The following is a 23642-nucleotide window of genomic DNA, read 5'->3' as shown; positions in this document are numbered from 1 at the left end:
ATGTATAATGTAGCTGATTATTATATTTAAATATTCTAACAACTCTCATATTGATGAATATATTTTTTTAAATTCTGGAGATAATGTTAATGGGTTTTTTAATTTAATTGAACTTTTTAATGTCAGTTATTTCAAAATTTATTCATTCGTACAAAAAATGTTATTGATCTTTTATTATTTGTCAAGTTGTACTCTAGGTACCAGTGATTCAGCCATGAACAATTGTAACAATGCCGCAGCCCTGCCCCCATGGAGCTTACTCCTAGTCAGGGGAGACAAATGATTAACAAAATAAGTAAATATTTAGTAATCAATATGCTAAATAGTATGTTAAGTACTATTTAAATATACTTAATATACTAGATAAAGTAAGTGATATGGAGTAAAATAAAGTAATGATAGGAGATACTGAGCAATGACAGTGCTGGCCAATTTTGAATAGTGTGGTCAGGGAAAGACCTTAGCAAGGTGATATTTGAACAAAGACCTAAAAAAGAAGAGCGAATGAGCCAAGTGGATACATGGAAGAAGAACGTTCCCAGCAGAAGTATGAAGCCTATGCATGGCCCAAGGCAGGAGTGTGTCCCACTTGTTAAGAAACATCATGGTCGCTGGGCGCAGGGGCTCACGCCTGTAATCCCAGCACTTTGGGAGGCTGAAGCGGACAGATCACGAGGTCATGAGTTAAAGAACAACCCGACCAAGATGGTGAAACCCTGTCTCTACTAAAAATACAAAAAAGTAGCTGAGTGTGGCGGCCCACGCCTGTAATACTAGCTACTCGGGAGGCTGAGGCAGGAGAATCGCTTGAATCCTGGAGGCAGAGGTTGCAGTGAACCGAGATCGTGCCACTGCACTCCAGCCTGGGTGACAGAGCGAGGCTCCATCTTAAAAAAAAAAAAAAAAAGAAAAAAGAAAAAAAAGAAACATCATAGCCATTGTACATTAAGCAGAATGACCATGGTGGGCACTAGTGTGATATGCAATGAGAGAAATCACAGAGGTCAGATGATGCAGAGCTTTGAAGGCCATTGCGAGAACATTCTAAACAAGATGGGAAGCTGACACAGGGTTGATAGCAGAGGAGTAATAAACCACAATACGTTTTTACATTTTAAAGGGTGCCTTCTGTGCTGTGTTGAGGACAGACTGTAGTGTGGAGAGTGCTGCAGCAGAGAGAGAACTCTTGGGAGGCTCTTACAATCATTTAAGCTAGAGACAATAGACTAAGAGGGTCAGTATTCCACAACGCACCTTCTGGAGCACACAGGTGCCTTGCCACACCAGTCGGGAACTTCTGCTCTGCAAAGTCCAAAGACTAAGCTAAAGGTAGGTACCTAGGGACCTATAAGTGTTTCCATTCCACATTTTAATTTGCGTGTGTCTCAAGGATCCTGAATCAAAGTGCCCCAGTTCCAGTACCCAAACTAGAACTCTTGAGCCCAATGTAATTGAAATTTGCTGATTATCTTTCCTCACGGCCTTAGACTGGTCTGTTCATTCTCAAGGACAAGCAACAACATTAGGCTCTGACACAGGCACAGCTGTGTTCTCATCCCGACAAAGCATAGACTTGGCCGTTCTATCTGCCCTCCCTGCATTCGCACTTGTCCCACCTGGAAAAAAATTTTTCCTGCATCCTCCTCTGTGTGGTCCTCCCTATTCATACCAGCAAGACCTTTAGTCGACAGTTTTTGTCAGCCCAGAGCCTAAGATAAATAAAATATGATAAAGATATGAGTGCATTATGTGACTGGGTCAAAAAGAGGTGAGGACACCAAGAGTCCACTGTTATTCTCCAAAGCCTTGGTCCCCCAACCCTGACCCAAATTCATCTCCAGCTTGACTTCAGTTCCTATGACCCACCACCCATGCCAACCTATCCACACAAGAAGGTTGGGACCTGTCCCAATCCTTTGCCTACATTTATGCTATAGTAAATGAGGTGTTGTTCTCTATGTACTGACTGATGTGCCACAACTCTGTGACTTTATTCATGCTGCTCCCTCTGCCTGGACCCTCTGTCCCATTTTCTTCAACAGATTGACTTTCACTCATTCTTCAGGGCTTAGCCCAGGCATCATGGCCAAGTGTCCATGGCTAACCTCCCCAAGCAAACTGTCCCTTTGCATTTCTCTACTGTTAGACATCCAACATTATATTAAAAGTATTACTGTCTGTCCTACCAGAATTGAAGTTTTTGTGGTCAGAGATATCTTATCTACTAAATTCCTAAGTCCTGCTGCACTTAGCTCAATAAATGTTTGCAGAACTCAGCCTCCCCTAACTTGTAAAGCTTATTCAACAACTTCAAATAGTCCGAAGTGATTTTTTCCTTGTCTGAATTCCAATCTGAACCAAATGACTTAAAACTTAAGTATTCTCTAATTTTTAAATTATTCTGTTTGTTTTTCATCTACTGCTCAAATAGATTTAAGTTTCATGTACATTGGGACTATGTCATGTGTTTCAATATATAATGTATCAAGTACATCTGGGATAGCAGTAAGCAATACTATAAATGCAAAAAACTACAGATTGTTTTATAAACTCTACTTTAACTTTCATTCTGCTAAATGAGGAAAGTTGACTAGCTTCTCTGCTTCAGAGAGTGATTATGAACATTATTTAGTAAATATTCAAGACTACATTTGAATTATTTGCATGATATATGATTTACATCACAATGAGATTTTGTATTCTTAAATATCATATTCTTAAATGTTATATTCATATCATATTCATGTTCTTTACAACAAGCAAAGAGAAATCCACAAAGATAATATAGAGTGAATCCCAAAGGAAATGAAATCAATATGTTTGATCACACTTTTCTTTTTTTTTATTTTATTATTATTATACTTTAAGTTTTAGGGTACATGTGCACAATGTGTAGGTTAGTTACATATGTATACATGTGCCATGCTGGTGTGCTGCACCCATTAGCTCGTCATTTAGCATTAGGTATATCTCCTAAAGCTATCCCTCCCCTCTCCCCCACCCCACAACAAGGCTGTGAATCTTTGAAGCTTCAATGCTGGAATTGCTATAAAAGCCAATTTTTAGGTATTTACATGTTCCACGTTAATATATGAAAACATAATATATAATAAAATTAATGTTATCCATATTTTGTTTTTTGCTTTTCTTGTTTTGGACACAAAAATCAGCTTACTTAGTAATTCAAAGAGGAGAAATAGTTGCAATTTTTCAGGTGTTCTTGTCTAACAACATTTGGAAATTTATCATATGCATTATCTTAGTTCACTTGAGCTGCAATAACAAAATGCTATAGACTGGGAGGTTTATAAACAGCAGAACTTTATTTCTCAGTTTTGGAGACAGAGAAGTCCAAGATCAAGGTGCTGGCACATTCCTGTGTCATAGGTAGCTGTCTTTTTGCTGTAGGCTCACAGGGTGGAAGGACTGAGGAAGCTTTCTGGGGCCTCTTTTACAGGCACTTAATCCCTTTCATGAGGACAAGAATCCCATACATGACTTAATCACCTCCCCCTCAAAAGGCCCTACCCCCAATACCATTACCTTTAGCATTAGCATTTCAACATATGAACTTGGGGATACAAAAATATTCAGTCCATAACATATGCCTAATGATAGTATGGGGGAAATGCTTAAAATATGATTTAGTGCATTTTATTGTTATGAAATATTATTGCTTTTTTTTCTTTTTTTTTTGAGATGGGAGTTTTGCTCTTGTCGCCCAGGCTGAAGTGCAATGTCATGATCTCAGCTCACTGCAACTTCCGCCTCCCAGGTTCAAGCGATTCTCCTGTCTCAGCCTCCTGAGTAACTGAGATTACAGGTGCCCACCACGATGCCCAGCTAATTTTTTGTATTTTTAGTAGAGATGGGGTTTTGCCATGTTGGCCAGGCTGTTCTTGAACTCCTGACCTCAGGTGATCCACCTGCCTCAGCATCCCAAAGTGCTAGGATTACAGGCGTGAGCCACCAAGCCCTACCTATTATTGCTTTTTTAAAATAGAATCAGAATGATAACAATACATTTTCTAATCTAGAGATAAGTGCAAACTCTTAGCAGCCAGTAGAGTTTTGAATAAGACTCATTTAGGTAGCTATTTTTAGATGCTTTATTACTATATCTAAATTTATATTTAACAACTGCCCCGTCAAATCTCTATACATGTTTCATTTCGCATACTTAATACCAAGAACTTTAAAAATTTAAAAATAACAATTATAGAAGAGTTTTATAACAAGAAAACTTACCCTGGAAACACTTTTGTAGTGGCTAAAGAGCAATCAGCATATTTACTCATAATTCTAGCATATTTTTGTAAAACCATCCTTCCAAGTGACTATACTTTTTTTGTTTTTGTTTTTTTGAGACAGAGTCTTGCTCTGTTGCCCAGGCTGGAGTGCAGTGGCACAATTTCTGCTCAATGCAGCCTCTGCCTCCTGGGCTCAAATGATTCTCCTGCCTACCCTTCCATCTAGCCAGGACCACAGGTGTGTAGCACCATGACTGCGCCACTGCATTCCAGCCTAGCCAACAGAGCGAGACCCTGTCCTCCATAAAAATTTATTGGTAGACACAACTGAGACAAGACACTTTGGGTCCTCAATTATTTTAAGAGCGTGAAAAGGTCCTGAAAACACAAAGTGGCTTAGGACATATTTTACTTGGCTATTTTTTGTAGAGACATGGTCTCACTTTTTTGCCTAGGCTGGTCTTGAACTGCTGGGCTCAAGTGAGCCTTTCACCTTGGCCTCCCAAAGTGCTAGGATTACAGGCATGAGCCACTGTGCTGGGCAAGTTAATATATTTTTTAAGCAAAAGTTTTAGTCACACTTCTGAATAATCTGTTATGTTAATGCAAAATATGTGTCATTCTGGCAGTTTATTTTCTATCATTATAATAAAATATTTTAAATAACCATTTCTTTAAATCTACTCCTAAGGAAGAGATCAATAGAAATAAATATTTCCCAAGTTCAGTTCTAAAATATTCTTTTAAAATGCTCTGAGATTTTTTTTTTCATGGCCTGTCTGAAGAGTGAATACATGGAATTCTGGAATTCTGGATATGATGCTAGATCTTAGGTAGTTCCAGCCCTGTTATAGCAGCTACTGGAGCTGTCCATGGTGTTCTGTCACAAAGTTCAGAGTATGTCCTAAGCCAGACACTTTGCTTTCAGAATCTTTTCACACTCTTGAAATAACTGAGGACCCAAAGAGAGGGATCTTGTCTCCGTTGTATCTACCAATAATTTTTTGTGGAGGACAAGGTCTTGCTCTGTTGCACAAGTCTTCCACTGGACCTTTTTAATTCATATCTCTTTGTTTCTGTTCTATCTCTCTATCATTAGCTTTGCTAACCGGAGATGCATCATACACCTTCCTTCAGCCTATACTTACATTCTCTGCCCTGTGAATGTCTAACTTCCAAATACCCTTTCCTCTGGTGAGCTTCTGAGCAAAGGCCAGCACTATTGTCAGAGCATTGCTATTAACATAGAGGCTGTGCATGTGGCTACACTAGAATTATGGTCTAACAAGGGCAAGGAGACCAACCGTGTACTGGATAAGCCCTGTCCAATGGAACCTTTGCATGATGGAAATCTTTTATATCTGTGCTGTCAGGTAGAGCAGCCATGAGTCACAAGTGGCTATTGTGTACTTGAAATGTGGCTACTGCAGCTGAGGAACTGCATTTTAAATTTTATTTAGTTTTAATTCATTTAAATTTAAATAGCTCTATGTGGGTACCATATTGGACAACAAAGTCATAGACTCTACTTGAAATAGCTCCTTTAATTTGAGGATCAAGTGAAGTCATTGTTAATGATGTCACTGTGTAGACATTGGTACTGCTCTTCAGCACAGGAGTCTTTTCCATTTTCTGGGCACACAGAGGAGGACACTTCCCAGCTCTCTTGCAGGGAGGCAGGGTCATGTGACTATGACCATGTGATGCAGCTCACTTCCGGGCAAACATTTAACTGCAGTACATGACGCTCCTTTTTTCATTCTGCCATGGTAATGAGAATGTTCCAGACCATGGAGTCTCTGTGATCCTGGGTCCAGAAGGACTGTAGAACAGAGCCCCCCACTCCATTACAACCCACACTGGACATGAATGTGAGTAAGAAATAAACTACGTGGCGAGCCACAGGAAATTCAGGATTCCTCTATTACTGCAGCATAACCTAGACTTCCTGGCTGATAAGAGTCCACACAGAATCACCTGAGCAGATTGTTAAATCTACATATCTAGAGTCCATCCCAGGTTGGGAACTCGGCATCAGTATTTTTGGTTCAAAACAAAATAAAACAAAAAATCTCTCCAGGTGCTTTGAATGCATACTAACCTGGTTAAGAAGCAGTGCTGAAATACAATGTCATTGTTACTACAGATAGTATAGAAATGAGTCCAAGAGCGATAATGCTAAATTTTGCAAAGCCACTTGACTGCTACGAGAGGGAGATGAAACGTGACCTGTGCTCTTTCCCCGGGCTGTGCTTCCTTTCCTCTTGTTCTAAGTGCTGGGGATGGTGGGAGAGAACAGATTGATACGTCCTGGACTCCAAATTGAATTTGTTAATGCTTTTATCCTTATTATAATACTTTCACACACAGTGATTAGTTCCACAAAAGCCTGTTTAATCCAAAAAGTAGTATTAAGAGTGGCATATACTGTAGAATAGCCTAGGAATCTAACTTCTACTTAAAAATATTGTTTCAATCAGTAAATGTATTCCAAGTTTGAATAATATGTGTAAAAACAAGTTTTAAAAGTTAAAAAAAAAATCCATTTTTATTGGATAATAGGCTGTGGAAAATAGGATCAGCATTGCATATTGCTCGATTAGCATAGCAGGTTGTTAGTAACAACTACTCCACTGACCATATAATGTCTGCCTTGAAATGTCTTTATTCATCTTTTAAAGTGATGAGCCTTGGATGTTGGTTATTTCATTTATCCAGCAAATGTTGATAAAGTATCTGTCATATACCAGCCACTGTGATATGCACTGGGTACAGAGTGGTGAATAAAATAAACAAAATACCTGTCTTTGTGGAGCTTCCAGTTTAATAGGAGATGTAAACAATAAGCAAATACACTATTAAATATACAATTACCAATTGTGTTGATTTCCTCAAAATTAATACATAAATTTAATGTAATTTCATTTATAATTCCAACTTTTTTGAGATAATTCTGTAATGTGCTGATAATGTATATATGGAAGAATAAAAGACAAGACAAAGATTAGCCAAGAAAAGGGGATGAACAAGTACAGTGGTGGGGGGTAGATTACTGTAGGCATCAGTTTGAGTCCTTTGATGGGGGAGTGGGTAGTGCCTGTAAAATATGAAAGGGAGCAAGCAAGGCTGAGCAGGGAGAGCTTCAATCCTGATCATACCTCACATGTGTGAAAGGAGAGGGAGGAAGGGTCCCTGAGGGCCATGTACCTATGATGAAGTCCTGGCCAACCTAGTCAAGAGCCCTGGAGCAAAAACTTTGCCTTTGGAGGAGTCCCGCCCTGGGTAGAAATGGCCAGGCCCCAATGCTTCTGCCATGCCAGTCATTTGCTGGGGGCTGCCCAGCTCCAACTTTGCAGGGCTGTCAGCTCACTGGGGTCCATGCAGTGAAAGGCCAGTTTTTCTGATCAGTGCTGAGGCCCCAGGCTGTACAGTAGCACATAGAATAAAGCTACTGTCTTCAAAACAGCCTGGTATTGGAATAAGAAAAGAAAAAAGATCATGAGATAGAATAAGGAGCCAAAAATAAATAAACAAATAAATGACTTCAGCGTCAGTAAATGAGAATTACTTTGTGGAAAAAAGTTTAATTCAATGGAGGAAAAGGTTTATTTGATAAATGGTGCTGACATAAATGCCTGTCTTTTTGGAAGAAAATAAAAGTGGGTATCTCCATCTTAACCATAGACAAAAATTTATGCCAGATGCACCAAACACTTAATTATACTTAATAAAATATAAAAACCTTACAAGAAACTATGAAATTCTGTCTATGTAATCCAGCAGTAAAGATCATAAATTATTCAAGGCTGGAAATCCAGAACCTATTTAAAAAAAGGGCTGTGGAATATTCAAAACTTTACTAGAGAAAAGATACCATAAACAAAGGCATGAGACCAATGACAAATCAGGAAAATCATTTAACTGAATAAATGATTAAAAATCTTTCAAGCATTTAGAGCACTGGCTTACAATATTGTTCAGCCATAACAAAGAGTTTGATTTCTGTGAGCCAGGAATGAAAATCAGTTATGTGTTTTACAGCCAAAAGGACATCTACTGTTTATATTTTCCATGTGGGTTCAGTGAAGAAATGCATATATAGGGATACATTTGATGGACTGAAATCTTAAATGATCTGTGAGGAAAGCTATGTTGACTTTCTTCACTTCGCAATTCTGTTGAACACAAGAAAGTTGGGGAAAAATATGACTGTCCTGCAGTGAAATGCTCCCCCTCCACAGGCACACCTGGCATTGTAACTCTTTTATGTATAATGGGGTTTCTGCATTATACTGTATCCCGGGAGAATGAATGCTTGCGGATGCCTGCTAGAAATTTCAAAGCCCTCTGGGAAAGTCTTATCTCGCCCTGGAAGGTGAGGTCATTTTCCATTTCAGGGATACATGAAAGAAGTTAGTCCTCAAGAAATTAAGTCTACAAAGGCAGGCCTCAAGTAGGTCAGGAAAGGCTCTCTCTCTCTTTCTCTTTTCTTTCCTTTTCTTTTTCTTTCTTTCCTTCTTTGCTTTCTTTTTTCTTTCTTTTTCTCTTCTTTTCTTCTTTCTTTCTTTCTTTCCCTCTTTCTTCTTTTGTTGAGGTTTTCTTCCCTCAATTATGGATACCAATGAGTGTAGATGTCTTTGAAGTGGGCTTGTTTGGTAGATAATAAGATGGTCTCAGATAATAGACCTGAAAGGGTCTTAAATACTAAGCCACCAACAGAAGATGCATAAGCTATATTTACCAGGCTTTACTAAGACAGATATTTAAGTGTCACGGGTCTCTGTACCTTCTTCCCATTTGTTTTCCCAAAGCTTTGGTAAACATCTGCCTTGTCCCTGCTGGGTAAAGCCACTGTGAACCATATGAGAATGCCTGGATGTGGTGATGAGCATCTGCCCTGGTGGCCAAACGTGGATAATCTTCTATTGTTGAAAAGAAGTGGCGATTTCCTCATAATACTTTGCAATAACAACCTAGAGCCTAATGCTTTATCCCTCTGAAAAAATCCCAATAATTGCCTATATATCTGTGATCCATTAGTTTATCCAGTCCATTGGTAAAGCTATTTATAATTTCCATTTCTACTGTCTCTGCCTCCTAGGATAACACATCCATAATTTTACTATTTCTTAAAGCAGGACTACATTTATTTGTCCTCAGTTTGCTTTTTCAAGCTTCAAGGGATACTCCCTTACCCTAGGATGACAAAATTTAGTGGATAAATATTTGGTGAGTTCTTTTTGATCTATATAAAACAAGTGTGTGTACACATATATACATAAGTATATATGCACATATATATCCTCAACATAACATTTTCATATTGAATTGTACATTGTTGTGGTTGTAGTTTAAGCTTTTTAAATATAGTATTCCTCACCTCATTCTCAACCCCCTTATCTTTAACATTTTATATTGTCCTACTCTTTAACCTGATATAGTCAGATACACTGAATTCTAAGACCATCAAAATGTATTTGAAATAAATTTGTTTGAAAACATTCCTGTAATAAATAAGCTTAGTTATCAGAAATACTCTGAACATCAACATGTAACAATAATTTTCATTAGATTTTTCTTTCTTTAAAATGTGAAAGAGAAATATATCTTATCCATATCTGTGATGACTGCAACAACAATAGAAATGGTAGCTTAAATTCCATATTTATAGGGACATATGAATATTCTTGTATTAGTCACATGATTTATGAATAGTATATTCTGTTGGGGTTAAAAGAATGTGGAGCCTAAAGGCACAATTACATTTTAATTCTAATTTCTTTCAAGGGGTTTTCATTTACATTACAAGTTTGTCATCTGCGGAGACAAGGCAGCTCTTGTCTGGGAAGTGTCTGGTTTTAATTTGGTATGTTATAAACTGTAAGGCAAGGTGGGAATGGATAGAAAACTGGATCAGGAATTGTTAAAACCTGTGGTGAGTAGCATTATGCCGTGGCCGGGCTTTGCAGCCCCAAATCAGCTTTGATCTGGGCTCTGCCATTTGACAAACAATTCACTGTACTTGGGCAAATCACATCCCCTCTCTAAACCTTAAGCAACCTTATTTGTGAATTGAGGGCTGTGGGGAGAGTTCAGGGAGAGTAGCCAGAGAAGCACTTGCATGACCAGCGTGCACAGCGGGTTCTCTTCTCAGTGACAATTGTCCTGGCTCTACCACGAGCTCTGAGATGCCACGTTAGTCACAACCTGTAAAGGCGTCAATTTCTTTATTTGCTAAAAGGTTAGTTTGCGGAAATTCTAAATTCCCTTTTAATATTGCATTTTATACTCATACCTGAAAGGGACTTGTGTTCACCATAGCCGTCTCCTCTTGTTTCAGTTTAGCCATTCTCCACTAAGTCCTCCATGGCCACCACGCAGCCACACCTTCAGACACCAAGACAAGTCCTCCTTCTCCGTGTCCCACAGTGCCTTGTCTCCTGAGATGACAAGCTCCTTGGCACCAGAGATGGTATCTTTCTCATCTTTGCCTCCTCGGAGATACAGTACACTATACACTGTACAGTGCATAGTACACAGTAAGTGCTAAACAAGCGTCATTTGACTGACTGAATGAATGAATGAATAGGCACAGGGAGATAGGTGAATGGATAAGGTACTAGTTTACTATGGCTGCCTTAACAGGTACCATAAAATGCACGGCTTAAAACAACAGAGGCTTATTGTCTCACGTTTCTGGAGTCTAAACATCTGAAATGAAGCCATTGGCAGGATTGTGCACCCTTGGAAACCTGGAGTGGAGAATCTTTCCTGTCTCTTCCTGGCTTCTGGTGGTGGCCGGCAATCCTTGGTATTCCACACTATATGGCTGCAATGCTTCTATCTCTGTGTCCCTTGTCACATGGCTTTCTCTCCTTTTGTGTATGTATGTGTGTGTGTGTGTGTGTGTGTGTGTGTGTGGTGTGGTGTGTGTGTGTCTTTCCTTCTTATGAGGACAACAGTCATATTGGATTAAGGGTTGATCCTATGACAGACGACCTCACCTTAACTAATTTCATCTGTAACTGCCCTACCCAAAGTCACATCCACAGGCACTGGGCATCCCCAAAAGAGAATGACAAGATTCTCTCCTTGATCAAATTCTAGCCAGACTCCCCTGAACTGTCTTCTCAAGTAGGCCTTGGCTTTTGGATTTCTGCGTTCATCTCTGAATTTGTCCAGTTTTAGCAAGAATCCTGCTTAGTCAGTTTAGTTGGAGTCCCCCATTGATCACCCTCAATATCTGATCAGAACCCTCATCCTCCGCCGTCCCCCAGGTGATGGTTGATTACACTGGTCTCCTTCAGCAAAAATGTTGTTAGGTCAGTTTAACAAAGAATTGCCCTACCTGTTAGTAATTTTTTATCCACTGACTTCCAAACTGCTCCTTGGGTGTAAATTCCCACGTTACCTTATTATATTGAGTTAAGTCCAATTTTTCTTCCCTATCCTGAAACCCCATTGTAGTAGCCTCCCTTGAATAAAGTCTGCCTAACTCAGATGGTTGCAGAGCAAAAAGCGTAATCATCTTCAACAAAATCTTTCTGCAGCCCAGATAGAATTTAATGTTCCAATATATTTAAAGTCTTTAAAAAGTAAAGATTAAAAACTAAGGGAGAGAAACTAAAGTGGAATGAGGTAGAAGCCAGAAACTTCAGAGATGTTTACTCTAAGTCTCTTAGAGTAGAAATCTTAGCATAGAATTAGGGAAAAGACAGTAAAGAATCCGCTGTAGGCTGTCCCAGTGATATGGGTCTCTAATAAAGTCTCCTGTGGAATGATCCTCCAGCTGGAGGTGGAAGACTCACTGCACACTTTCTTCTCCACCTACAACTTGAGCCTTCAGTTATAGGACTCAGTTCTAGCATGTCTTTGAAAGTTCAGTCCTTGGCCGGGTGTGAGTCTTCATGCCTATAATCCTAGCAGTTTGGGAGGCTGAGGCAGGAGGATACTTTTAGCCCAGGAGTTCGAGACCAGCCTGGGCAACATAGGGAGACCCAGTCTCTTAAAAAATAAAATAAAATAAAATAAAATAAAATAAAATAAAATAAAATAAAATAAAATAATAAACTTCGCCCCTTTATCAGATGTCACTGAAGTTACAGGCAATGGAAATGAAGTAGAATGGGCTGAGTGTGGTGGCTCATGCCTGTAATCCCAGCACTTTGGGAGGCCGAGGTGGGCAGATCACCTGAGATCAGGAGTTCGAGAGCAGCCTGGCCAATATGGTGAAACTCCATCTCTATTAAAAATACAAAAAAAAAATCTGGGCATGATGGTGGGCACCTGTAATCCCAGCTACTTGGGAGGCTGAGGCAGGAGAATTGCTTGAACCCAGCAGGCGGAGGTTGCAGTGAGCTGAGATCATGCCGTTGCACTCCAGGCTGGGCGATAAGAGAGAAACTCCATCTCAAAAAATAAAATAATAAAATAAAAAGTAGAATGACCGACCTCTAACCCACTTCCTATTTAAGTACTATAATACACATTATTATGAAATACCGATTTGTCCTTGTTTTTAACTTGCTACATTATTTTATACTGGATAGGAGCTGTGCTGGTAATTTTCTTTCTCCTTTAAAGCTCTGTCCTTAAATTACACATGCACAAATGTAATTTTATTCTTTATTCAGTTTTCCCTTGATCTTTATATGCATTCAGAATCTAGGTCAAAATGCAATAGGAGAGTGTGCAATGCACAAGAGAGGAGCAAAGGCAGACACAGCTGGGGATGGAGGTGAAACTGGCAGGCACCTTCTTCCATGCTACCTCCATCTGCCTTTTGTAATAGTAGGGTAAGGGAGCTCTAGACATGGAACTGTATGTTATTTCTTCCATATTAGTGTTTTTGGAAGTATCAAAAACGCAGATGGATAATTCATAGTTAGCAAAGTGATAATCTGCTGCATGGATCAGTACAGAAGTTTCTCCAACTTGGCCCTGACCACAGATTTGAGAGTGCAAACGTGCTGCTCCCTCAACTTCTCATGCCCCCTGAGGCAAGGCCCTCCTAAGAGTCTCTATTCTACTCCAGTCTCACACTGAAACTCCTTCTAGTATTAAGAAGTCTATTATTCTTTAAAAATTAGTTAAATGTAAAATATGCTCAGAAATATACAAACCTTATTATTTTGTCTAACTAAAATAAACAAGTAAACTATATTTATTTTTATTTTACTTTAAGTTCCAGGATACATGTGCAGAGTGTGTAGGTTTGTTACATAGGTACACATGTGCCATGGTGGCTTGCTGCACCTATCAACCCGTCATCTAGGTTTTAAGACCTGCATGCATTAGGTATTTGTCCTAATGCTCTCCCTCCCTTTGCTCCCCACCCCCAACAGGCCCTGGTATGTGTTGTTCCCCTCCCTGTGTCCATGTATTCTCATTCTTCAGCTCCTACTTATGAGTGAAAACATGTGGTGTTTGGTTTTCTGTTTCTATGTTAGTTTGCTGAGAGTGATGGCTTCCAGCTTCATCCATGTCCCTGCAAAAGACACGATCTCATTCTTTTTATGGCTGTATAGTATTCCATGGTGTATATCTACCACATTTTCTTTATCCAGTCTATCATCGATGGGCATTTGGGTTGGTTCCACGTCTTTGCTATTGTAAATAGTGCTGCAGTAGACATATGTGTGCATGTGTCAGGAAACAATAGATGTTGGCAAGGCTGTGAAGAAATAGGAATGCTTTTACACTGTCAGTGGGAGTGTAAATTAGTTCAACCATTGTGGAAGACAGTGTGGTAATTCCTCAAGGATCTAGAACCAGAAATGCCATTTGACCCAGCAATCCCATTACTGGGTATATACCCAAAAGATTATAGATCATTCTACTATAAAAACTATATGTTTTTAAAACTAGTGAAATGTTTCCCAATGTGTGCTATTGTTTGAACTTAGAAAACAGAGGCATTCATCAGTACAAGCCTTTGCCAAACAATTTTAAAAGGGCTTTAAAATAAACAATGTATGTATCACATCACATACACATCACATCAGGAAGGCTTCCACATCGCTTCCACGATGTCTCTTGGTTCTGTGTACTTCACCCTGTCTCCACCTCCACCATCCTATGTTACTCACTGGGAAGTTTTTCAACAGCCTCCCAGCTGGTCACCTTGTGTCCTCTTTTGGTCTTCACCAGTCATTGCATACAAGGCGATCTTTAGAAGGTCAAATCTGATCAAGACAACTGCCATACTCCTGCTTCTTCTCCCTTCTCCTTTCTCACAAAAATGTGTGTGTGGAGTCTGATAAGGTGGTATGGACTGAAGAGGGAAAGCATTTAAGTTCCATCTTTTTCCTCCTCAAATGCTGCCTAAACATCACTGGGTTTATAGGGACCTTAATTTCATCCTCATCATTCTATGAACAAATGTTTGCCTTAGCACTGTATGAACATTTATACGAATGCCCTTTAGGATTCTTTTTAGTCCAAGATTTCCATGAAAAAAGAGACATATTACAGTAGGTCCTATGAAAAATATTCTATGATACATACCATGTATCTTAAATTCTAAGATGCATTTTTCATATGCTTAAAATCTCTGCAGTCAAGATGTGTATTACAACTGATGATGGATCCTAGCTTAACCAGCAACACTTTTCCTTTCTTAAATTTTCATAAGATCATTGTTCGTCCCGCAGTCCAGGATATCTTAATTAAAATACAATACGTGTTCCTTGGAGCACCAGTAAAAGTCTTATTTTGCCATTATAAACTTGTCACTCTTGTGCATTTCTTTTTAAATACACAATCAAGTCAACAACTATGTATTGAGCACCAACCAGCAACTATAAATTTTCATACAGTGCTAAGGCAAACATTTGTGCATAGCATGATGGAGATGAAATACACAATCAAATCAACAGCTATGTATTGAGCACCAACCATGCATAAGACACTGGGTTAGTTACTACTGGAGATAAAACATCATTTATTCATTCATTCAGCAGGCAAATATTCAATACTTATTATATGCCAGGTTTTGTTTCATACACGAGGTGCATTGTGATTTAGACAGATAACATCTCTATCTTGGTGGAGCTTATGTTCTAGTATAGTAGAGAGTAAAAAGCTATAAAACATAAATGTAGCAAGGATGGATTGTAAATGTTGTTATGCCCACTTTTTGATGGGTTATTTGTTTTTTATTGTAAATTTGCTTAAGTTCCTTGTAGATTCTGGATATTAGACCTTTGTCAAATGGGTAGATTGCAAAAATTTTTTCCCATTCTGTAGGTTGCCTGTTCACTTTGATGATAGTTTCTTTTGCTGTGCAGAAACTCTTTAGTTTAATTAGACCCCATTTGTCAATTTTGGCTTTTGTTGCAATTGCTTTTGGTGTTTTTGTCATGAAGTCTTTGCCCATGCCTATGTCCTGAATGGTATTGGCTAGGGTTTACTTCCAGGGTATAAGGTTTTGGGTTTTACATTTAAGTCTTTAATACATCTTGAGCTAAATTTTGTATAAGGTGTAAGGAAGGTGTCCAGTTTCAGTTTTTTGCATATGGCTAGCCAGTTTTCTCAGCACCATTTATTAAATAGGGAATCCTTTATGAACAGACACTTCTCAAAAGAAGACATTTATGTGGCCAACAAACATATGAAAAAAAGCTGTACATCAATGATCATTAGATAAATGCAAATCAAAACCACAATGAGATATCATCTCATGCCAGTCAGAATGACAATTATTAAAAAGTCAAGAAACAATAGATGCTGGTGAGGCTGTGGAGAAATAGAAATGCTTTTACACTGTTGGTGGGAATGTAAATTAGTTCAACCATTGTGGAAGACAGTGTGGTGATTCCTCAAGGATCTAGAACCCAGAAATACCATTTGACCCAGCAATCCTGTTACTGGGTAAATACCCAAAGAAATATAAATCATTCTACTGTAAATATACATGCACATGTATGTTTATTGCAGCACCATTTACAGTAGCAAAGACATGGAACCAACCCAAATGCCCATCAATGATAGACTGGATAAAGAAAATGTGGTACAAATACACCGTGGAATACTATGCAGCCATAAAAAAGAATAAGATCATGTCTTTTGCAGGGACATGGATGAAGCTGGAAGCCATCATCCTCAGCAAACTAACACAAAACAGAAAATCAAACACCGTATGTTCTCACTCATAGGCAGGAGTTGAACAATGAGAACACATGGACACAGGGGAACCACACACAACAGGGCCTAGTGGTGGGTGGGGGCAAGGGGAGGGAGAGCATTAGGACAAATACCTAATGCATGCAGGGCTTAAAACCTAGACAATGGGTTGATAGGTGCAGCAAACCACCATGGTACATGTATGCCCATGTAACAAACCTGCATTTTCTGCACATATATCCTGGAACTTAAAGTAAAATGAAATAAAATATTGTTATGAAGGAAATTTATATTAAAATTTAAAATACAAAGTTTTATTGATCAATTATTTTTCTGTCTTTCCTATCTCTGAACACATTTCCTCAATGTTCCAGAGCATTTATGGATAAATCTTTGAAGGCCCTGTTCCTAGAAATACTTCAGTACAAGCTGAAGCTCAGAAATCTGGGTGTTTGCTCTAAAAACAAATCTACTTCCTACCATTGCTGTTTTCTTTTAGCCACTGATTACTCTGCAAAGATGTGTAATTCTGGATGATTTGCAGACATACTTCTAATGGTTTTACAATGTAAGTATGGGAATCAAATAAGAAGCTGATAACTTATGACTTACCTTTTTTATTCTTCTACATTACATCTTAGATACCAGAACATATCTAGATTATATAATACCTTTACATTTAAGGCAAATGTGAATCGTGTCTTACTTACAAAAGGTCTTTTTGTGTTACTTTATCCGAGACGATGCACAATGACTTGCGGTCTTTAAATGACTATCTCCTAAACTCTCCTTATGAGGATTCTCTGCGATTGTTTTATTGTCGTAAAATACACATAACATAAATTTTACCATTTTGGCCATTTTTAAGTTCAGTGGCATTAAATTCACTCCCTTTCTCTGCAACCATCACCTCCGTCCATCTCCACAACTTTTTCATCATCCCAAATTAAAACATAATACCCATTAAACACTAACTTCCCATTCCCTCCTACCCACAGTTCTTGGCAAGCACTGTTTTACTTTCTCTATGAGTTTGGCTTCTCTAGATACCTCACATAGGTGGAATCAAATAGTATTTGTCCTTTTGTGACTAGCTTATCTTACTTAGCATAGCATCTTAAAGGTTCATCCATGTTGTAGCATGTGTTAGAATTCCCTTCCTTTTTAAAGCTGGTTAATATTCTGTTGTATGTATACACATTTTGTTTACCCATTCATCCATCAGTGGACACTTGGATTGCTTCCACTTTTCACTGTTGTGAAGAATGCTCTTATGAAGATGAGTGTACAAGTATCTTTTCAAGACCCTGCTTTCAATTCTTTTGATGAAAATTCTGTTTTTAATTTGTTGAGGAACTATTGTACTGTTTTCTATAATGGCCACACCATTTTACCTTCCCACCACCAGTGCATAAGGGTTCTAGCTTCTGTGCATCCTTGCCAATACTTGTTATTTTCTGTTTTTTAAAAACGATAGTTATCCTAATGGGTGTGAAATGATATCTTATTATGGTTTGAATTTGTATTTTCCTAATGATTAGTGATGTTGAGCATCTTTTCATGTGCTTATTGGCCATTTGTATATCTTCTTTGAAGAAACGTATATTTAAGTCCTTTGCCCATTTTTAAATCAGGTTTTGTGTTTGTTCTGAGTTGTAGGAGATCTTCACAGACTCTAGGTATTAACCCATTAAGAGATACATAATTTGCAAATGTTTTCTCTTTCTGTCCATTGCCTTTTCATTTTATCAATAGTGACTTTTGAGGCACCAAATTTTTTATTTTGATATAGTCCAATTTATCTATTCTTTTGTTATAATTGCCTGTGCTGTTGGTATCATATTCAAGAAACTGTTGCCAAATGCAATGTCATAAAGCTTTCCCCCTATGTTTTCCTCATAGAGTTTTATAGTTTCAGCTCTTATATTTATGCCTTTAATCCATTTTGAGTTAATTTTTGTACATGGTGTAAAGTAAGGGTCTGACTTCATTCTTTTACAAATTGATACCTGATTTTCTCAAAACTATTAACGAATGGTTAGCAAATGGAAAGACGTTTTCCCAATTGAATGGTCTTATCACCCTTCATTTAACTGTATATATGAAAGTTAATTTCTGGGCTGGCTATTCTATTCCACTTATCTGTATGTGTGTCTTTATGCCACTACCACACTGTTTTGATCACTGTAGCTTTATAGTAAGTTTTGAAATCAGGACGTGTTAGACCTCCAACTTTGTTCTTCCTTTTCAATATTGTTTTGGCTATTCAGGTTCCCTGTGGTTCCTTATAAATTTTAGGGTGGATTTTTTTTGTTTCTGCAAAAAAGGTCATTAGAATTTTGACAGGAATTGCATTGAATCTGTAGATCACTTTGAGCAGCGTGGACATTTTGACATTTTAAGTATTCCAATCCATGAACTCTGAATGTCTTTCTATTTATTTTTGTCTTCAATTTATTTCAGCAATGTTTTATAGTTTTCAGTATACAAGTCTTCTGCCTCCTAAGTTTTATTTATTCCTAAGTATTTTACTCTTTTTGATACTATTGTAAGTGGAATTGTTTTCTTGGTTTCCTTTTAGATCACTCAGTGTTATTGTATAGCTTATTTACCTGCAAGTTTTAAAGAAATTGTCTTAAGTAGGTTAGTTCAACTTCCCACCTCCTACCCCATGTCTCCAGTCCTGCTGGGTTGTAAAGACAGCATACAGTTGAAGAGGTAGTTCTTAATATGAAGTGATTTCTAATGTAATTATGTCATATTTTATAGATTATTTTCTTTACCAACCCCCACTTTCTGTTATGCTTTTTTATCTATTGGAAGAAATAGGTGCAAAGACACTATAAAAATACACATTTGAGCCTTTCTTTTTTCTTTATTTCTTCCTTTCTGTTTTTTTTTTTTTTTTTGTGGGGGGTCATGGTTGGGGCGCACGGGGAGACAGGGTCTGGCTTTGTCTCCCAGGCTGGAATGCAGTGGTGTGATCACAGCTCACTGCAGCCCTCTGATCCTTTCTAATTCCATCCTTGGGCTACACACAAATGACTATTTAGTGGTATTTCCTATATGAATTTAAGCTCCAGTAAATCATTTCCACTCCCTGTGTCTGATTCTTCATCTATGAAAAGCATTCTGCTTACTCTTTTAGTGGAGGTCGGGGGAAGGCAAGATGGGGAGGTGCAGTTTCTACCTAACTGGAAACTTAAACAAAGGATGACATTTTTCACTTACACCTGTCATTGGAAATTATAAACTGTTCTTCCAGCCCAAGACTAGGCAAGTCTTCGAAGGAAGTGGTTGTAGTACTGCCTCTGGTATCAAGCTAAGAGACATTATCTTGGAATGCTAACCTGAATATGTGAAGAAATTTTCATTTCCAAGAGTCCAGAGAGGCTCTCAAATACATTTTTCTTTTTTCACTTTAATGTGATTTTCTTTTAATCTTGACATATGTACTACAGATAAAATCTTGCATAATTTGATATTTTTATTTGGACTATAACCTCTAGGTGACTGTCAGTATTAGTAAAGGAATGATTCAGTGCAGGAATATTGCTCAGCTAATCTTGTGACATTTTGAGCATGAGTTGTCATTTTTCTGGCATGGTTTGTTATTGAACAAATTAGATTTCCTAAGAACACGGTGGCCATTACTTTTTCTGATGTAATGAAACACTCGGTTAACTTGTTTTAGGTCGCCTTGCAAATCTGCACTACATTACTTTCATTTTCCTCAAATCTCACAAATCATTTGGTCTGAGAGCTTGAATGAGAATTCTCCAAAGTAAACTTGAAAGCTTCAAGGTCCCACAGCAATATTCTCCAAGAGACTACTTGGCCACATCTGCAGAGGGCTGAGGTTTTGGGTGGGCTTCACAGTCTCTAAGGCCTCCTGTGTCCTATGGCCTTGGTGAAGGCTCTTATGTGGTTCTCAAGAAGCCCATGTTTTAAGAAGTCCACCTTTTATTTCAAGATTCAGCACTACCACTGAGGAAGGAGCATGACAAGCAAAATTTATTTGGATAATTCAGTAAATGACATATTTGATTTGGAAGCATAGTTTGTCAGAATGCAGGAAACAAGGGAATGACAAGGCAGCATCATGTGCAGGTAAATAGCAACGTACTCCCTGAGCCCTGCAACACACAGTGGGTGAAATCAGCCAGGCACATGAGTAGATTACCACACTGTTTACATCTTCAGAGTTTGGTCCTGCCCCCAAGTCTCTGATCCTTGCACACACCAGGAGGGAGAACCTTTGCTAGACACAGTGGGGCAGTGAATTATACTCCATTTTGGCTATCAACAGGGAAAGGGCCTGTCCTTGGATGACTGACCCCTCTCTTTGATTCTAACTGGTGGTTGCTTGTGGGTTTTCATTTGTTTGTTTGTTTTTTTACCTTCTTCCTCTGATGCCTCATCTGCCTCAGGGAGAAGAGGCACAAGAATGTGGAATATGTGACCCATGTACATGAAGATATTCCTGGTTCACTCAAAAGTACGATTTTGAGAAGCCCACCTAGAGGTAAAGATAACCACAGTTATTTTACAAGGCAAGCTATTGTGTTTCAAAATAATTTCTATACAGAAATTATCACATTAGAGCCTGCCAGATTATTCCTTAAAATCCATAAATATTATAAATGCTATATAAAATGAAGTGGAGATCACTTTATAGCAAGAACAATTACTACAATCAGATCTATTAAGAATAGTCTTCAATGACTCATATTGGGACTGATTTAGTCAATTAGTACTCAGTCGTGCTTACCTGATCAAAAGAAGGATCCTTGCATAAAGTTATTTTCTTTTTGGCTATCAGAATTCAAGAATTAAACTGTAATAGTGAGTAATGAGGGAACTTTTAAAGCAACACAGACCAATAAAAAATTTGCTTGAAGTAGTGACCAACAAAAAAATTATTCCTAATTGTAAAAATGTAGAAAGCATGTGTATACAAGGTAACGATGGAAAAAAATCTAGTCAAATTGGGAAAAGAGTAAAAGATAGGTGAATTTGGAAGAATTCTTATTTTTGAGTTTTACCTAGACTGGCCTCACTAGTGCTATAGCAGCTTTTTCCAGAGGCAAAAATTACATTTAGCCATTGAGTGAAAAAGGCAGTGAGACTGTTTGAACGTATCTTCCAAAGAGCATGTGTTGGAAACTTAATCTCCATTTCAATACTACTGAGAGGTGGGACATTTAAGAGGTGATTAGGTTCTGAGGGCTCTGCACTCATGAATAGATCAATGCCATTATTAGGGGAGTGGGCTAGTTATTGTATGAGTGGATTCCTGGTAAAAGGATGAATTCAGCTCCCTTTCCTCTTGCTTTCTCTCACATGCTCTCTTGCCCTTCCATCTTCTACCATGGGATGACACAGTCAGAAGGCCCTTGAAAGATGCAGACCCTCAACTTTGGACTTCCCAGCCTCTAGAACTGTAAGAAATAAATCTCTGTTCTTTGCAAATTACTTGATCTCAGGTATTCTGTTAAGATAGGTGGTATTGTCCAGCATCTCCTTAATATGCAACCCATGGGCTTCCTCACACTGTTGGGTCTCTGGGGCAGAATCCTCAATGAGCCATTTGGATTAAAAAGCCCTGGAGTATAGCCTGGCTTGCGATCTGATAATGTAGATAATTTCTCATGGAAATTTTGGTAGAGACTAAATCCCCAGAAGTGCTTAAGTTGAGAAAGAAGGTGTTTGATATCCAAGGTGCATTTAAACAAAAGACCCAAGCCTAATGTGGAAGGTGTTCTTTCCCTCATTGGAGTCCAGGGGACACCCTGCAGACATAATGTAATTACACAGACATGCATCCTTTACCATGTTGCAGACCCACCTCTGATATTGGTAAAGCAATAATGCTGATATCAGGAAGAGCAGTAAGGCTTTCTCAGCTGATACAGCAATTTAAGGTTTGCACTCCATATCTGACACTGCCATAAGTACTAGAAATACAAAGATGAGTACAATAGTTTTGTGTTCCAGGAGGTCATATCTCCTGGGGGAGATAAACATAGAATACAATATAGGATGTATTGGATAAAAAGTAAAAGAATAATGATTGAAGTAAATAAGAATAAAGTGCAGCAGTGATCATGGATGGGTACAGAGGGGATCAGGAAAAAAATTATAAAGGAAGACATGCTTGATGTAGATCTTGAAAGATGAGTAGAGATTTTTCCAAACACCTGAAAAAGAAGAGCCACAAGGAAACACAGCATGTTTGGAAAAGTCTGAGGAATTCTGTGTTGCTGGAGCATAAGCTTAATAGTCCAAGAAGCGAGAAGGAGAGGCCCTCTGGGGATAAGGGGAAGCAACCAGAATTGGAAAGCCTGGCAGGCTGTGCCAAGGCATTTGTACTTTATCTTACATGTGATGGAGAGCCATTCAAGCCTTTTGAGCAGGGGGAAAAGATTATTATATTTGCATTTTAAAAGTTGATGGTGGTGTGGTGTGTGAAAAATGAAGTGGAAACAAGCAAAACTAGCATCAGGGAGGCCAACTGGGAAACTAAACACAGTGACCCATTTCAGTGATAAGGAGGCCTGTTTGTGGGGTGGAACTGAGAAGATAAATTATGAAAGACCTCAAGGAAGCATATCATCAATTTTCAGGATATGAGAGACCACTGCAACAAATAATACTTTGAATGGAATGCACGAGTGTAGTCGGGGGGAGGGAGTTGGAAGCCAGTGGACAGAGGAAGAACTACAAAGTTAACTCAGGAAATTTGATTCGGCTTTCACACTTTCCACTCTGTCCACAGCTGCTCCTCTGCTTCCCTTCCCTCCCAGCTGCTCTGCCAAGGTATCAGTCCTCATTATCTACTGCCTCCCTGAAGCATCTGACACCATGAAAATCTCCCTGCTGGAAATATTTTCTCTCCTTAGCAGCCATGACACCACACTCTATTGGTTTCTTTCCCTTTTATTTGGGTGCTGCTTATGATTTTTTATTAGCTCATTTTTCTCTGCCTAGTTCCTTCAGATTTATCCTAGACCTCTTTCTCTACTTACATATTTACCATGCAATCCCATTCATTTCCATGTCTCTAATATCCATGTTCATGCCAGGGACCTCAAAATATGTATTCCCAGGAAAGATCTGTCTTCAGAATCTTATTTCTATATGTGAGACTACCTACTTGATCTTCTCTTTTGATATCCCATAGGTACCTCAACTAAACATAGCAAAAACCTCAAAATGATTATCACCACCTCTGTCTAGCTCACACTTGTTCCTTTCCCTCTCTTTCTC

The 23642-nt window shown here is 38.5% G+C and overlaps 1 long non-coding RNA gene across 3 annotated transcripts; it reads left to right on the top strand.

Annotated features, from left to right (window-relative positions):
- The first annotated feature begins 901 nt into the window (after positions 1-901).
- On the top strand, positions 902-21848 carry LOC105371970 (uncharacterized). 3 transcript variants are annotated; one of them, XR_935111.3, is made up of 4 exons: positions 902-1329; positions 10591-10789; positions 20804-20898; positions 21759-21848. It is a non-coding gene; the product is annotated as an uncharacterized LOC105371970 (long non-coding RNA). The 3 variants fall into 3 exon arrangements; XR_001753331.2 differs by lacking the exon at positions 902-1329 and having other exon boundaries at positions 10430-10789; XR_935113.3 differs by lacking the exons at positions 902-1329; positions 10591-10789 and adding an exon at positions 19327-20483.
- Positions 21849-23642: the final 1794 nt, after the last annotated feature.

The sequence above is a fragment of the Homo sapiens genome, chromosome 18 (assembly GCF_000001405.40).
Source record: "Homo sapiens chromosome 18, GRCh38.p14 Primary Assembly".
In the NCBI taxonomy this organism is placed as follows: Eukaryota; Metazoa; Chordata; class Mammalia; order Primates; family Hominidae; genus Homo; species Homo sapiens.
The sequence above is the reverse complement of the archived record's forward strand: the minus strand, read 5'-3'. Positions and strand labels throughout refer to the sequence as shown.